Source organism: Homo sapiens, chromosome 1 (assembly GCF_000001405.40).
Source record: "Homo sapiens chromosome 1, GRCh38.p14 Primary Assembly".
In the NCBI taxonomy this organism is placed as follows: Eukaryota; Metazoa; Chordata; class Mammalia; order Primates; family Hominidae; genus Homo; species Homo sapiens.
Genome location: NC_000001.11, coordinates 204427356 through 204442877, shown reverse-complemented (window position 1 = coordinate 204442877; position 15522 = coordinate 204427356). Strand labels below are relative to the sequence as shown.

Genomic DNA, 15522 nt, shown 5'->3' with positions numbered 1-15522 from the left:
TGGCCTGCTTCATGCTGTTCTGCCATCTGCTCCCCTCTAGAGCTATTTGGTCTTGCTGTTAGCGTACAGTCCCAGGCTGGGGTGTAGGGGGTCCTCCTCCTTAAGGATCTTCTGGAGGGTGTCCACACTTCTCAGGGGGTGGTTTTCATACCGACTACTACGGAGAACCCACCCCTGGGAGAGGTCTGGTTCTCAGTATGGACCCTCCATTTCACCCCTGCTGTACTCCTCCCCTTCTTTCCAGGGAATCCTCCGCACGGGCCTGGAGGAGGTGAAGCAGTTCTTTGCCCTCAATGGCTCGTGCCGCTTGCCACTCAGCCCCAGTCTGCTGGTTAAGGGAATTGTGCCCAGGGTGAGTGACTGGTAGGTTTGGGGCTCTCAGAGTGGGAGGGCTCAGTGGAGGTGAGGTCTTCACTAACCAGGCATGCAAGGTCGAGGAGCTGAGTTGTCTGGGCGTCAGTATGTTGCTAACTTACCATGTGGTCTTGGCCTAGCATCTTTTCCTCAGGGGTCTCAGCTCACCCCCATGCAACATGGTGAGGATTATGTTATCCTGTCTCTCCTCTACCCACACATGGCAGAAATAGAAAGGAGAAACGAGGCAGAGGGGCTGTGAACTCTGCTTAAAGACAGAATGAGGGCACAGACGGGGGTATGGGCACAGGTGAGCATCTCCATATAAGCCATAAAATAAGAGAGAGATTAGGAAGAAAGGCATATCTGTGGCCTCTTCCCATTCCTAATGTGTATGGACTTTTAGAAGCCTGACAGCTTGCAGGGTAGAGGAATTGGGTTGGAGGTTGGGCGGCTAGGCAGGTGTCTTTCTCTGATGATGTTGGGGATGAAGTCGGAGGTGGTGGTGGTGATAGCAGCTGTCATCTGTCATTTATTGAGCACTCTCTGTGCCCGGCCCTGTTCTGAGTGCTTAATGTTGGTTATGGCATTTCATCTTCACAACTCTTAGGATGTTGGTACTATTGGGAGTCCCCTTTTACAGAGGAGTAAACTGAGGTGTAGATGGGACATGTGACTTACCAGAGGTCACACAACTAGTAAGTTGTGCGCAGAATGAACTAACAGGATGGGAGGTTAAGTGCTGGAGCTGAGGTCATAACAAACTGAATTGGGATGATGACTATTTAACAAGAGAAGGAAGGAAATTGGGTTTCTGGGAAATCCGGAAGAAACAATGAGCAGGTCTTGGGTGGACCGGCAGCAGCGGGGAGGCAGCATCTTGGTCTGAAGTGGAGAGGTCGTTTTCCTTTCCTGGCATGGGCCACTCTGACCCTCGTCACTATCTTTTCACCATGGCAGGACTGTTCCTACTTCAACTCCAATGCTGTCCCCCTCAAACTCTCCTTCCAAAATGTGGATCCCCTGGGTGAGAACATCCGTGTCATCTTCAAGGTGAGAATACTTTACTCAAGCCTGGTGGACCAGGGTGGGAGAGAGAAGGAGGCAGCCTAGAGTGGCATTAAGTAGCCCCTGGGTGGTTCTCTTCCCACTGTTCCATGCTGTCTTAATGTAGGAAAGATGATCAGGTGAAAAAGGATTTAGATGAATTCTGCATGGCCCCAGAGGCCTAACAACAGAGTGTTAGGTATAGGGAGGCAACTGGCAGCTCAGTATCCCGAAGTGCTTTCTAGGAGGCAGAGCTCCCTCAACAATGGGTTGGGTAAGGTGGTGATCCGCTTGTCCCTTGGGTATTCAGGCAGAGGCTGAATGCCATGTGGCAGGGCTGCTGAAGAGGAAATTAATATATCAGGTGCAGGTCCAACTAGATGAACCCTAAGGTCCCTTCTAACTCTGATGTATCCACAATTCTGAGAAGTAAATGATAGTCTCAGAGCATATAATCTAATGGGGGAGACAAAATACATGCATGTGACTTAGTAACTTATATATTTGCTATGCGCAAGTTCCAAATCCAAAGTCTAAACGTTCAAGTTTAAAAAAGGCCTGATGGCCTGGGTGTGGTGCCTCATGCCTATAATCCCAGCACTTTGGGAGGCTGAGGCATGCAGATCATTTGAGGTCAGGAGTTTGAGACCAGCCTGGCCAAGATGGTGAGACCCCATCTCTACTAAAAATATATATATATATATATATATAAATTAGCTGGGCGTGGTGGCAGGCACCTGTAATTCCAGCTACTTGGGAGGCTGAGGCATGAGAATCACTTGAACCTGGGAGGCGGAGGTTGCGGTGAGCTGAGATCGTGCCACTGCACTCCAGCCTGGGTGACAAAGTGAGACACTGTCTCAAAAAAAAAAAAAAAAAGGCCTGATGGTCAGAGGGGCTGCATGCAGAAGCAGACCGTGAATTTAATTCAGATGGGGCCATGGGATTGCAGGACAAGCTGGAACAACACATGGGCAAACTGGGAAGCTTCCTGGGCCATCTTTGACCTGGTGTGAGCTGAGTGAGCAGGTCAGGGGTGTGAGGCTGGGGAACTCCCTGTCACTGTTAGTTTAGGGCCAAGGTTGAGCACTTGGGAGACCTGAGAGCTGGGGAGGTAGTGGAGATTAGATCTGGTCACTTTCTCCCTCCATCCAGTGTGGGGACGACCTTCGCCAGGACATGCTAACGCTGCAGATGATTCGCATCATGAGCAAGATCTGGGTCCAGGAGGGGCTGGACATGCGCATGGTCATCTTCCGCTGCTTCTCCACCGGCCGGGGCAGAGGTCAGTTGGGAGTAGGGGTGAGGGTGGAGGAGGGGACCGCTTTGCTTATTGTCCTTCTGCCCATTGCCAACACAAACTGTGTCCTCCTCCAGGAAAGTGAAAAGGGCAAGATTATTTCATGAGAAGCTGTGGGATAGCCTTAAAAGGGAGGCATGGGAGAAGACTGTTATAAAGTAAAACAGACTTGGTGCCGTGACAGCCAAGCATATTGTGTAGACTTTGGATCCTGATTAAAACAAACCAATTGTAAGGAAATATTTTTTGGGCCAGACATGCTAGCTCATGCCTGTAATCCCAGCACTTTGTGAAGCTGAGATGGGAGAATTGCTTGAGCTCAGGAATGTTTGGGACCAACCTAGACACCTCATCTCTAATAAAAATTATAAAAAATTAGCCAGGCCTAATGGCATGTGCCTGCAGTCCCACCTCCTCGGGAGGCTGAGGCAGATGGATCGCTTGAGTCCAGGAATTTGAGGCTGCAGTAAGCCATGATGGTGCCACTGTACTTCAGACCAGGCGACAGAATGAGACCCTGTGTGAAAATATATATATAGAGAGAGAGAGAGAAGGAGAGAGACAGTTGGGGGAAGTTTGAATATAGATTGAGTTAGATTAAAGAGTGATTGTTAATTTTTTGGATGTGACAATGGCATGGTGTCTTTGTTAATTACACTTGAAATATTTATGAGTGAAATAAAGTATCTGGGATTTGCTTTAAAATACTCCAACCAAGGTGGCAGGGAGTGGAGAAATAGGGTTGTGTGATTAGCAAACAAGATTAGCAAAATGTTGACAATTTTTGAAGCTGGGTGATAGTTACATGTGAAGTCATGATACCATTCTTTTTATTCTTATATATATTTTCAAATTCCCATAGTAAAAGCTAAAAACAAAGGGAGCAGCAGCTATGAACTGGAGAGACCAAAAAGTCACAGTATGGAATAGGAAATGTGGGAATGACCTTCCTTTCTATGGTTATTCTCTTCCTGTTATTATCAGACTTAGTCCAAATGCCTTACAGCTTAATTTATAGGGAAGCATGAGCACAGTCCTTGTAGTCCTCTCCCTGCAGTCCCCTTCATTCTGGTCTGGAACGTGACCCCCATTTCTCCCCTCACAGGGATGGTGGAGATGATCCCTAATGCTGAGACCCTGCGTAAGATCCAGGTGGAGCATGGGGTGACCGGCTCGTTCAAGGACCGGCCCCTGGCAGACTGGCTGCAGAAACACAACCCTGGGGAGGACGAGTATGAGAAGGTAGGGTTGTGGGTGGGGAGTGCGTCTGGTGTGTGTGTGTGCCTGATGCCGGCACACAGCTCTTTAACCACAAGACCTGCACTTGCTCAGAGAGGACAGCTCAGCTTTGTTGGCAGAAGGACCTACCCTTTCTTGGTTGACTGGTGCCTCCAAATATCTGGGGGTGACTCACTCAAATGCCTCTTGTAAGCTGGCTGAGAAAATCCCCTGATGCTGGACTGAGAAACTTTCACTGAGTTCTCCTGGCAGATTAAGTCTTGGAGGAGGCGCCAGCTTTTGAGAGCCTATCTGTATCCCTCCCAGTTGTGGATCCTCTTCAGGTTCCCTTATGTTCTCAGAGGGTTCAGTGGTACTTTCTAGAAAAAGAGTTGGTTGGAAGAGACTTTAGAGATCATTTTATGCCAGCCCCTTCTTTTCATAGCTGTGAATTAAGATTCACTCATTCATTCCTAGTTATGGAGCTGATATGTGGCAAGGCTGTAACTCAAAGCTAGGATTGAGGTTAGATATGAGACAGAGACGAGTGAAAACAGGGCTGGCTGGTTCCTGATGAAAGAAGATTAGATTAGAAGTGGAGCTTTCCTGGGTGGTAGGGCCCTGGTAGCCTGCTAGGGTCCGTGGCCTGTTCCCAGCATCACAACTCTAGTCTCTGGGTTAATTAGGTTGAGGAAAGTAGGGACACTGGGAAGGAACAAATCACAATAACCAAACTCACAAGAGACTGGCTATAGGCCAGAATGCTAATTCGTATAATTTTAACTTCAAGGGACCCAAATACTGATTTATATTGATCAATGTACTTTATCCTGGAGGGAAAACCAGCATGGGCAGCCAAGGTATAATCAGAACATTGTTTAGTGAATGTGTAATTAGATGATCTTAAATGGCTTTCAGTGTTTGTGTTCCCCGGGGCTTAATTCCTGGCCTGCTGGGCCCTCTTTGCACTCTTCTTGTGCCAGCTCATCCTCTTATTACTTCAACTACCACCTGTATCTTGATGACCTCCGAAGCCATTCCTCTAGCCCTCTTCCCTTCCTCCAGGTGGTTCTATAGCCACCTTCTTGCTGGACTTTTCCACCTACGTTTCACCCACGTCTCAAACTCGGTGTAGGCAAAACTGAGCCTGCTGTCTCTCCTTTGCCTCTTGAAACCTGCTTTTTGTGTTTGCTATCAGTCAATGGTGTGACTCTTTCTGTGCATTTACCCAAGCCAAAGCCACGGTCTTCCTGATGCTTCCCTCTATCTCACTTCTGTACCATGCTCTGTTTATTCTTCTTCCCAGCTATCTCTCAAATCTGTCCTCTTCTTCCTATTTTGTTACCATTGATTTTGTTCAGCTCTTTGCTGTCGGTCCCCTGAACCACTGGAATGCCTCTCCTCCATCTAGAGCCAGCCTCTGCTTGATTTCAGAGGTGTTTTGTTGTTGTTGTTGTTGTTTTGAGACAGAGTTTTGCTCTTGTTGCCCAGGCCGGAGTGCAATGGCACGAGCTTGGCTCACTGCAACCTCCACCTCCTGGATTCAAGCGATTCTCCTGCCTCAGCCTCCCAAGTAGCTGGGATTATAGGCGTGCACCACCATGCCCAGCGAATTTTCATATTTTTAGTAGAGAAGGGGTTTCACCATGTTGGCCAGGCTGGTCGCGAACTCCTGACCTCAGGTGATCCACCCACCTCAGCCTCCCATAGTGCTGGGATTACAGGCATGAGCCACAGTGCCCAGCTGTTGTTTTTTTTTTTAAGTGTGGATAAGTTCTTCAAAGCCTCTGTGTATCCTAACAGATAGCATTGCACACAGAGCCTTTTATAATCCAGCCCTGCTGACTCCTGTAATCCCATCCACTGCAACCTACCATCTTATGCTAACCTATGCTCCAGCTAGGTTACTAGCTAGATCATGCGGTGGGGGCAGGGGGGGCTACTACTTTCATTTCTGCAGTACTGTAGGCAGTAATATTTCCTTTGCCTGGAAAGTCATTTCTTCCCTTCTCATTCCTCAAAACTCTGCCACTCTATGCTATACATTTCAAGGCCCTCTACCCTTGGAGAGGAGTAATGATTTTTTTCCTTTCTACTACCAACCTCCCATATACTTACTCTTTATGCTAATATGCATTTTTCAGGTATTAAACACCCATATGCAGAGGCACTGTACTAGGTGCTGGAGTTGTGATTACTCCCTGCCAATGTAATAGTCATATATGTGTAAATGTATGGAAATAATACTAAATAATAATAAATGTACAGATGAATGTATAAGAATATAATAAAAATAAATGTACAGAAGAATGTACGAGAATACACACAGAGAGAAACTAACTCTGCATGTTCATGTTTAATCTCAGTCTTTCAAAGATAGCTTCTCTGCCCTTCTAGCCTTTCTCCAAGAATAATGCTGGTAGTTTCTTTTTTTTTGAGGCAGGGTCTCACTCTGTCACCCAGGCTGGAATACAGTGGCACAATCACTGCAACCTCCACCTCCTGGGTTCATGTGATCCTCCTGACTCAGCCTTCCAAGTAGCTGGGACTACAGGCATGTGCCACCATGCCCAGCTAATTTTTCTATTTTTCGTGGAGATGGGGTTTTGCCATGTTGCCCAGGCTGGACTTGAACCCCTGGGTTCAAGAGATTCACCCACCTCAGCCTCCCAAAGTGCTGGGATTACAGGCATGAGCCACCACCCCCAGCAATGCTGGTAGTTTCATTTGATGACTTCCAGAAGAAAGAAACTAGAGGTATTTTCTCTTGGCCACCTACTCAGCAAGAGAGTATCCCACACCCTACACATGAAACCCCTGAAATCAGAGGCAGAGTGTCCCTTTATAGAGTGAGACTTCTTGCCAGTAAGTGGCTAACACCCTGCATAACTTAGGGAGGTGAAAAGAGTTTAGTCATTTACCCACAGGCACACAGCTATTTTCTCAGCCAAAATAGGATTCATTTAAGGTAGAAAGAGCATCTGTGACAGGGAGAGGATTTGATAGAGATCCAGGTCACGACTGGGAGTTACGCGTTATGCTCCTTATTAAGTGCTTTTATTCATTTATTTTACTTTCTAAGAAATAGTCTTTTTCTTCCAGAAGATGAATGCTGTGATTTCTTTATAACCTTTCCATTCTTAGTTTCTGGTGGATCCATCATCAGGTTGTAATTCGACAAGTAGCTGGGTGGGTGCATTCTGTGTGGAGCTAGTTTTGCAATAGGCATTGTGAAATAGGCAAGAAGCTGTTAGGAGAACAGATCTGTAAACCCCATGGGACTGAAAGGGCAAAGTCAGTGCTGTATGAATGGAGGTGACAGTGCATCTGTAGGGGTTCAGAGGAGGAGAAGTCAGTATGAGCTTGGAAGGTCTGGAAAGTTATGGGACTCAAGGTCATTGAAGGATGATGGGTGGAAATTTATGGAAGGAGGCAAGGAGGGCGGGCATTCCATATCTAGTAAGCTTTCCCTCATTCCTAATTTCATGCATTCCTACCTGGCTATGACGATCATTGCTCTCTGCTGATGTCTTTCCTGAGTTCTTAGGAATTCTATAAACCTCACGAAGAGGATTTTGAAGGCAGGAGTGGTCTATTTCCTCATTCCATGTAGTTTTTCTTTCTGGAAAGACAGATAAGGGGATGGATGTTGACCAGACAAAATAAGATGGAGTCAACCCCTCACCACTCCTCTCCTGCTTTAAACTCAGAAATATCTCTAACATATTTTACCAACTAAAGATGTCCCATTTTCAAGTGTAAAACACTCTCTAGACGTGTTAAGCTGCCTCAGCTCTTCTTTGGAGTGCAGTGACTTTAATTAGATTAGCATTTAGCTGTTACCAAGAACTCTGGAAATGGGAATTTTATTTGGGGCAGGAAGAAGGATGATAGAATTCTGAGCAGGGTCAGGAAGAGATTCTTAAGTTGGCTTCCTCAGTGGCTGTACTTAAGATCATCACGGCCAGTTGGGGAAGTTGTAAATGTCAGTCTTCCCATCTCTTAAGGTCCCCTCAGTCTGGGCTGATCAAGACTGGGCTCTTGGATCAGTCCACTGTCTTTCCAACCGATCTCCCTAGGAGAAAGAAAGGAGAAGATGGTATTCAGATGAAGTGGTGAAGATATACATATAAATCTCCATCTTTTCCATAAGACATGGGAGATGTTTCTGTGTGTGTAAGTGTGTAAGTTAGTACATGATGAAGGATGAACAGGCAGATGTGAGACACTATTGGGGTTCACAGAAGAGAGAGAGGCCAGGGCTGGCTGAGTTCTGTCTGGCTGTGGCCCCTGGAGTCCTTCCAAGCCAGCTTTATGTCCTCTCCTCCCATCTGCCTTGACCCCTCCCAGGCTGTGGAGAACTTTATCTACTCCTGCGCTGGCTGCTGCGTGGCCACGTACGTCTTGGGCATCTGTGACCGACATAATGACAACATCATGCTGAAGACCACTGGTCACATGTTCCACATTGATTTTGGCCGCTTCCTGGGCCATGCCCAGATGTTTGGCAACATCAAGCGGTAAGTGATCTCCTGAAGCCAGATTGTGAGTGAAGGGCAAGGAGGTGAGCAACAGTGGTTCAGAGCTGGGACACAAGCCCATGATGGAAGCAGCTGGGCCTCAGATCATGGTCCCAGGGCTGAGCAGCATTGGAGGAGAGAAGACGGATAAAGAGGTCAAGTCCTTGCAGGGCCTTGCAGAAGAATGCGGGGACCAGCTGTTCTTCCCTACCAAGGACTGAACAAAGGGAAATGAACCAAACTGTAGCAAAAAGGAATGCAATCAGATATCCAGAAAAAAATATTGCCAGCTCACAGATAAGGAACCAATGAAGGATATAGAGATCTTTTAAGATTAAGGTAGGAAAGGAACAAAGAAAAAAGTTAGAGCCCCTTCTATCCAGTGTGTCCACGTGATGAGGGATGAGGGAAACTGACCCCTGATGCAGCCCATATGGTGGGCTTCCTCCTCCATGTTGACCTTCTACCTGTATGTTCCCCTTGGCTCAGGGACCGTGCCCCCTTTGTCTTCACCTCGGACATGGCGTATGTCATCAACGGGGGTGACAAGCCTTCCAGCCGCTTCCATGATTTTGTTGACCTTTGCTGCCAAGCCTACAACCTCATTCGCAAGCACACCCACCTCTTCCTCAACCTTCTGGGCCTGGTGAGGAGCTCCATCCCTTTCCGAATACCTTCTTCTTATTATCTGGCATCATCTTTAAGACTTCCCTGTCTTGCCGCAGAGGATTTCTAGAGATTTACCTCTCTGAGCCCCAACTGAATACCTGCCTGCCCTAGATAAAGGCAGGGACCCAGACTACCTGAGGACAATGATGTCTGTGTAGGTGCCTGACTCCCTGCTCCAGCCCTTCAGTTCCTGTGGCCCTCCAGCCACTGCCCACAGCATCTGTCTACCACCCTCTAGAAGGGTTAGGGAGCCTAGCTGTAGAAAACCTTGCCTAAGGGTAGAGAAGCAGCAAGAATTCTCTGTTGTTACAGGCACCCTCTCTTCTTCTTTCTGCTCCTTCTAGATGTTGTCCTGTGGGATCCCTGAACTCTCAGACCTGGAGGACCTCAAGTATGTGTACGATGCCCTGAGGCCTCAGGATACAGAGGCCAATGCCACTACCTACTTCACTAGGTAAAATGATTCCCTGAGCGAATCAGCACTGCCCACCCTGAGTAATTCCCAGCCTGCCGGATTGGCAGGAGGAGGACTGGGGAAAGGTGAAAAGCTTAGCTCAGATGCTAGAGCCTAGAGCTGACCACGTGGATACATTGTCCCAACTTTGCCCGTGATTTAGGTAAATCATTTTGCTTCTCTCAGCCTTGGTTTCCCATCTGTGTTTTGGTGCTAACCTTTGCACACAAGGGTATTGCCATCACTCTTATCTACATTCTCACTAGGTCCCATCAAATACTTTGTCTATGGGGCAATGTATAATGTGGCTTTTGTAATAACTTTTAACTTTCTTGGTCAGACGCTTCCCCCTTGCCAGAACATGGAGTTCCATGATTCAGTCTCCTCATATTTGACAATGTTTTTAGGTACACTGTGTGTGAAAGCAAGGATGTGTTTATCTATGAATGCCTGCAAAATGTGGTCCCTGTAGATAATGTTCTCCACTCTTTTTGGAATTCAGAGAATTAAACTTTCTCTGTTAGGTCTCCTAACACAGGACCTCTCCCGCTGAATTGAAATCTGAGATTGAACAGTGCTTGGTGAGGTTCTATTGTAATGAACCTTGAAATTTTTTGATATTTAGACATTTACACAGAGAGAGTGAGTTCCTAGTTCCTTTCTACCTTGGTTTGATGGTTTTTGGCTCAGGTGGGCAGCCAGGGGAGGAGATAAGACCCTGGGGTTCACATGAGCAAATTGCATGAGATTATTGTGTGCCAGTCATTTGCTTTATGAGGATATGACACAGGAAAATGGTTTGATCTGAGCTGATTGTTAGTCTCAGGAGTCAGGAATATTCCTTGGAACACCCCTGTCGAGGCAGCAGGAATTTGGGTTCATGGTTATATCCTCTTTTCTTATCCTCCTGCCAGGTTGATTGAGTCCAGCCTGGGCAGTGTAGCCACAAAGCTCAATTTTTTCATCCATAATCTGGCTCAGATGAAGTTCACGGGCTCAGATGACCGGCTGACCCTCTCCTTTGCCTCCCGAACACACACTCTCAAGAGCTCTGGCCGAATCAGTGATGTTTTCCTCTGCCGCCATGAGAAGATCTTCCACCCCAACAAAGGCTATGTAAGTGTTTTCTCCAATCTGACCCCCTTTCCTGCTCTCTGCTGACCCTGGCTTGCTGGGATCCTGACTTTTTCCACACTTGCACAGTGGGCACAGGAGTTGACCGAGCGTCCTGTGCTGGGAGCAGTCCTGGACCACTTCCCTCTCCTTTGCTCACGTGATCTGCCTAGAATTGGGTAGCTGAATTGGATGGTTATTCCCTCTGAGTCAAGGATCCTGGCAACATATGTGGGAAGTCTGCTTTTAGATTCCTGTGTATGTGCTATCATCTGTCTCCACTCTTGCTCTCTTCCTTCTGGAATGTGCCCCTCCCCTCAGCACATACATACACTTCCGGACCTTTCCTACACCCTTCACTGGGTGCAGAGGGCTCGGCAGGTACACCCTAAGATCTGGACCTTTGCAGATATATGTGGTAAAGGTGATGCGAGAGAACACTCACGAGGCCACCTACATCCAGCGGACCTTTGAGGAGTTCCAGGAATTACACAATAAGTTGCGGCTGCTCTTCCCTTCTTCCCACTTGCCCAGGTAGCTGCCCCCTTTACTATCTGCACAGAGGGATGTCGGGGAGGGGGAAAGGATACGGGATGGGAGGTGGTCAGGGCTGCAGGGGCAGAAAATACCCTTTTGGACTAAACATCTGCCTGCTTTGCTTGGCCTGGTATGGAGTTTGATGACAAGTGCTCCCCCTGCTGGCCAAGCTCTCCTTGCACGCAAGAGCTCTCACTCCAGGCCCACTGGCCAGAAAGGAAGGCATGGTTGAATCTGATGTTTCAAAATTTCTAATTTTTTAAAGAGTTACACCATTTTTCAAATGGATAAGCAAAATGTCATATGTACATACAGTGGGATATTATTCAGCATTTAAAATGGAGGGAGATTTCGACACGGGTAACAACGTGGATGGACCTTGAGGACATTCTGCTAAGTGAAATAAGCCAGTCACAAAAAAACAAAAACGGCACGATTCCACTTATCTGAGTTACCTGGAGTAGTCAGACTCCTAGAGGCAGAAAGTAGAAAGCTAGTTGCCCAGGTCTGAGGGGAGGTAGGTGTGGTTGTTTAATGGGTACAGAGCTTCAGTTTTGCAAGATGAAAAGAGCTATGAAGTTGGATAGTGGCGATGGTTGCATGACAGTGTGAATATGGTTAATTCCACAGAACTGTACACTTAAAAATGGTTAAGATGGCAAATTTTATGTTACACATATTTTACTGCAATTTTTTTAAAAACTACTTTTCAGGCCGGGCGCAGTGGTTCACGCCTGTAATCCCAGCACTTTGGGAGGCCTAGGTGGGCAGATTGCCTGAGGTCAGGAGTTCGAGAGCAGCCTGGCCAACATGGTGAAACCCCATCTCTACTAAAAATACAAAAATTAGTGTGGTGGCATGCTTTTATAATCCCAGCTACTCAGGAGGCTGAGGCAGGAGAATCGCTTGAACCCGGGAGGCAGAGGTTGCAGTGAGCTGAGATCACGTGACTGCGCTCCAGCCTGGGCGGCAAAGCGAGACTCAGTCTCAAAACAAACAAACAACTTTTTAAATGAATTTTTTGGCCGGGTGCGGTGGCTCATGCCTGTAATCCCAGCACTTTGGCAGGCTGAGGCAGGCAGATCATGAGCTAAGGAGTTTGAGACCAGCCTGGCCAACATGGTGAAACCCCCCTCTACTAAAAATACAAAAATTAGCTGGGTGCGGTGGTGTGTGCCTGTAATCCCAGCTACTGGGGAGGCTGAGGCAGGAGAATCGCTTGAACCCGGGTGGTGGAGGTTGCAGTGAGCCGAGATTGCGCCACTGTACTCCCGCCTGGGTGACAGAGCGAGACTCCATCTCAAAAAAAAAAAAAGGATTTTTACATCGATGGGAGAAACTGAGGGCTCCCGAGCCATTTCTGGGGAGCCACAGGACTCTGGCCTGCTGTTTGGTTTTCTTGTCTGGGGCCCTTGGAAATGTAGTCATGAGATGCTGAGCAGGTGTCAGACCTGGGCACAGATGTGCAGCACAGGAGGAATTGTGAGGGTCCCTAGAAATGGAGGCTGCTGGGAAATGGGTGCTAGGGGACTGGAAACGCAAATGAAATGTGAAAAAAGCCCATTGTGTCCATTTTCTTTCCCCATCTTCACCTCCTGCATCCCCGCTGCCTACGCTGCCACGCCAGCTTCCCTAGTCGCTTCGTGATCGGCCGCTCCCGGGGAGAGGCGGTGGCCGAGCGGCGGAGGGAGGAGCTAAACGGTTACATCTGGCACTTGATCCACGCACCCCCTGAGGTGGCCGAGGTGGGTGGGCTTGCCTCTCCTCCTGGCTGTCCAGGCTGGTGGGGATGGTTGGGGAGGCAGAGGTGGAAGCATCCGGAGGCACTAGGAGTCAGGAACAGGACTTGGCACTTCGGGGTCTGTGGGCTGAATGACCAATGCTCCAGTCTGCAGAAGACAGGAGGAGGGTGGGTCCAGCCTCACAGGGTTATACACAGAAATGCAATTAAACAGAAAGGTGAATGCATCGAGGCACATGGGCTGAGAATGATGAGAATGAGCGGAGCCTCAGAAAGGAAGGCTCCTCTTTGAGGAAAAAGTTTTTTGAGCAGGTTGAGTATGTATTATCAACCTAGATTTTTTTTTAAACAAATAGTAGTATAATGGCCCTAACAAAGTCATGAGGAATCCTATTATTAAATACTTTAACAAATCATCTGCCCCTATTGTCCATGTTCCCTTCCTATTTGTCCATATGCAAGCATGATTTTTACAGTTTTATAGTGGTTATAGCTTAAGTATAACTCTGGATTCTGAGCTTTTTTCCCTTAGCATTTATAGTATACATATGCTATAACTTTAAATATCTGTTCCTTCAGACACCAACTTGCAGTACCATAATCTTAACCATTTTATTTTTGAAAGATATTTAGAGTATGTGTTTTTTTTCCCCATTAATGTTCAAGTGAGTATTTTCACACAGTTTGTTTGTTTTTTGAGACAGGATCTTGCCCTGTCATTCAGTCTGGAGTGCAGTGGCACAATCACAGCTCACTGCAGCCTCCACTTCCCAGGCTCAAGCGATCCTCCCACCTCAGTCTCCTGAGTAGCTGGGACTGTAGGCATGGGCCACCACACCCGGCTAATTTTTGTATTTTTTTTTTTGTAAAGACAGGGTTTTACTATGTCACCAGGCTGGTCTCAGACTCCTGAGCTCAAGCGATCCTCTGGCCTCAGCCTCCCAAAGTGCTGGAATTATAGGCATGAACCACTGCGCTCGGCCTGTTTTTTCTTTTTAAACTTTTTAGGGTTAAAACTTTCAAGCATGCAGAAAAGTAGAGAAACAATATAATTAGCACCTATATATCCATCACCTAAACACTTAACATTTTGCTATATTTGCTTCTTCTATTTTTTATGAAGTATTTTAAAATAAATAACATGCCAGGTGCAGTGGCTCATGCCTGTAATCTTAGCACTTTGGGAGGCCGAGGCAGGTGGATCACCTGAGGTTAGGAATTTGAGACCAGCCTGGCCAACATGTCTCTACCAAAAATACAAAAATTAGCTGGGCGTGGTGGCGCAGGCCTGTAATCTCATCTACTTGGGAGCCTGAGGTTGCAGTGAGCTGAGATCGCCCCACTGCACTCCAGCCTAGGTGTCAGAGCGAGACTCCATCTCAAACAAACAAACAAAGTAAATTACAGACATCATAATACTGTACCCCCTAAATACTCACTATGCATCTCTAAACAATAAAGTCTTGTTTTTAAAGTAACTACAGTATTATTATATTATCCAGTCCATAGTCCATATTCAAAATTTCCCTATCATCCCCCAAATTCCTTTTACTGTTGGCTTGTTAGAGCTATAATCCACATAAGAACTGCATGTTGTTGGTTGTTATATTTCCTAAGTCTTTTTACATCTGGAACAGTCCCCTTCCTTTTTGTATTGGGCCATTGTCTTATTGAAGAATGGCCCTGTTTCTGATTCTGTTCCAGTGTGATTTGGTGTACACCTTCTTCCACCCACTGCCCCGGGATGAGAAGGCTATGGGCACCAGCCCAGCTCCTAAGTCCTCAGGTACAGTATCTTCTCTGAGACCTTACTGCCAACTCCTCTGAACTACCCCAAGGGTAACTGCTTCTGCCCCAACCTCTTCTCAGTTCTCTCTCCTTGACTTGCCTCCTGTTCCTTTTCTTACTCTCTGGGAAATCTAGTTTCCCACTCAGGCCGTGGGGTCCATAGTTCCTTACCTGGGTTCCCCACAGGGTGGATATTCAGTCGATTATATCCTTAGACCCATCCCAACCCAATTAACTCTAATCACATTCAGACTACACTTATGTAGATGCCTCATGAGTATCAGAAATCTGACATGGAGAGGCTGGGGCAAGGGGGTTCAGGAAGAAAACAGAAACACCTGCCTGGCCTCTTGACCCTTCATGGTTTCATTTGTCCCTACAGATGGCACATGGGCCCGGCCCGTCGGAAAGGTGGGAGGGGAGGTGAAGCTGTCCATCTCCTACAAAAACAATAAACTCTTCATCATGGTGATGCATATTCGGGGCTTGGTAAGTGCCTGCACAGCCGTGATTTTTTTTCTTTTTTAATGTTTCTTTAGCTACTTTTTTGGGCAGACCTTCTCTGCCGCGTGTCATATGGGTAACCACCACAGTCTACTGAGCATCCACCATGGACCTATAACCATAGCAAGCCTATGGTATGACTAGGCAATACATGAGACAGCTTTTTGTAGCTGTGGTCTTTGACAAGTAACCTAATCATTCTGAGCCTCATTAGAATGAGGAAAATGTTAGCACCTACCTCATAGAGTCATTATGGGGATTAAATGAGATAATGCTT

General features: G+C 47.1%; 1 protein-coding gene across 3 annotated transcripts in view, besides 1 other annotated feature; it reads left to right on the top strand.

Moving 5' to 3' along the window:
- Positions 1-15522, top strand: part of PIK3C2B (phosphatidylinositol-4-phosphate 3-kinase catalytic subunit type 2 beta) — a 72173-nt gene that overhangs the window by 51928 nt on the left and 4723 nt on the right. For all 3 annotated transcript variants that reach the window (NM_001377334.1, NM_001377335.1, NM_002646.4), the window contains 12 exons: positions 245-352; positions 1315-1407; positions 2557-2686; positions 3807-3943; positions 8270-8439; positions 8929-9085; positions 9453-9562; positions 10477-10678; positions 11085-11209; positions 12840-12957; positions 14658-14739; positions 15124-15230. In NM_001377334.1, the coding sequence (NP_001364263.1) occupies positions 245-352; positions 1315-1407; positions 2557-2686; positions 3807-3943; positions 8270-8439; positions 8929-9085; positions 9453-9562; positions 10477-10678; positions 11085-11209; positions 12840-12957; positions 14658-14739; positions 15124-15230 (1539 nt within the window). The remainder of the gene's footprint in view (positions 1-244; positions 353-1314; positions 1408-2556; positions 2687-3806; positions 3944-8269; positions 8440-8928; positions 9086-9452; positions 9563-10476; positions 10679-11084; positions 11210-12839; positions 12958-14657; positions 14740-15123; positions 15231-15522) is intronic.
- Positions 11223-11517: an enhancer, noted in NCBI's record as "tiled region #11435; HepG2 Activating DNase matched - State 12:CtcfO, and K562 Activating DNase unmatched - State 12:CtcfO". NCBI's record gives its function as "activates a minimal TATA promoter and a strong SV40 promoter by Sharpr-MPRA in HepG2 and K562 cells {active_cell/tissue: HepG2 | K562}" and the evidence as "EXISTENCE:reporter gene assay evidence [ECO:0000049][PMID:27701403]".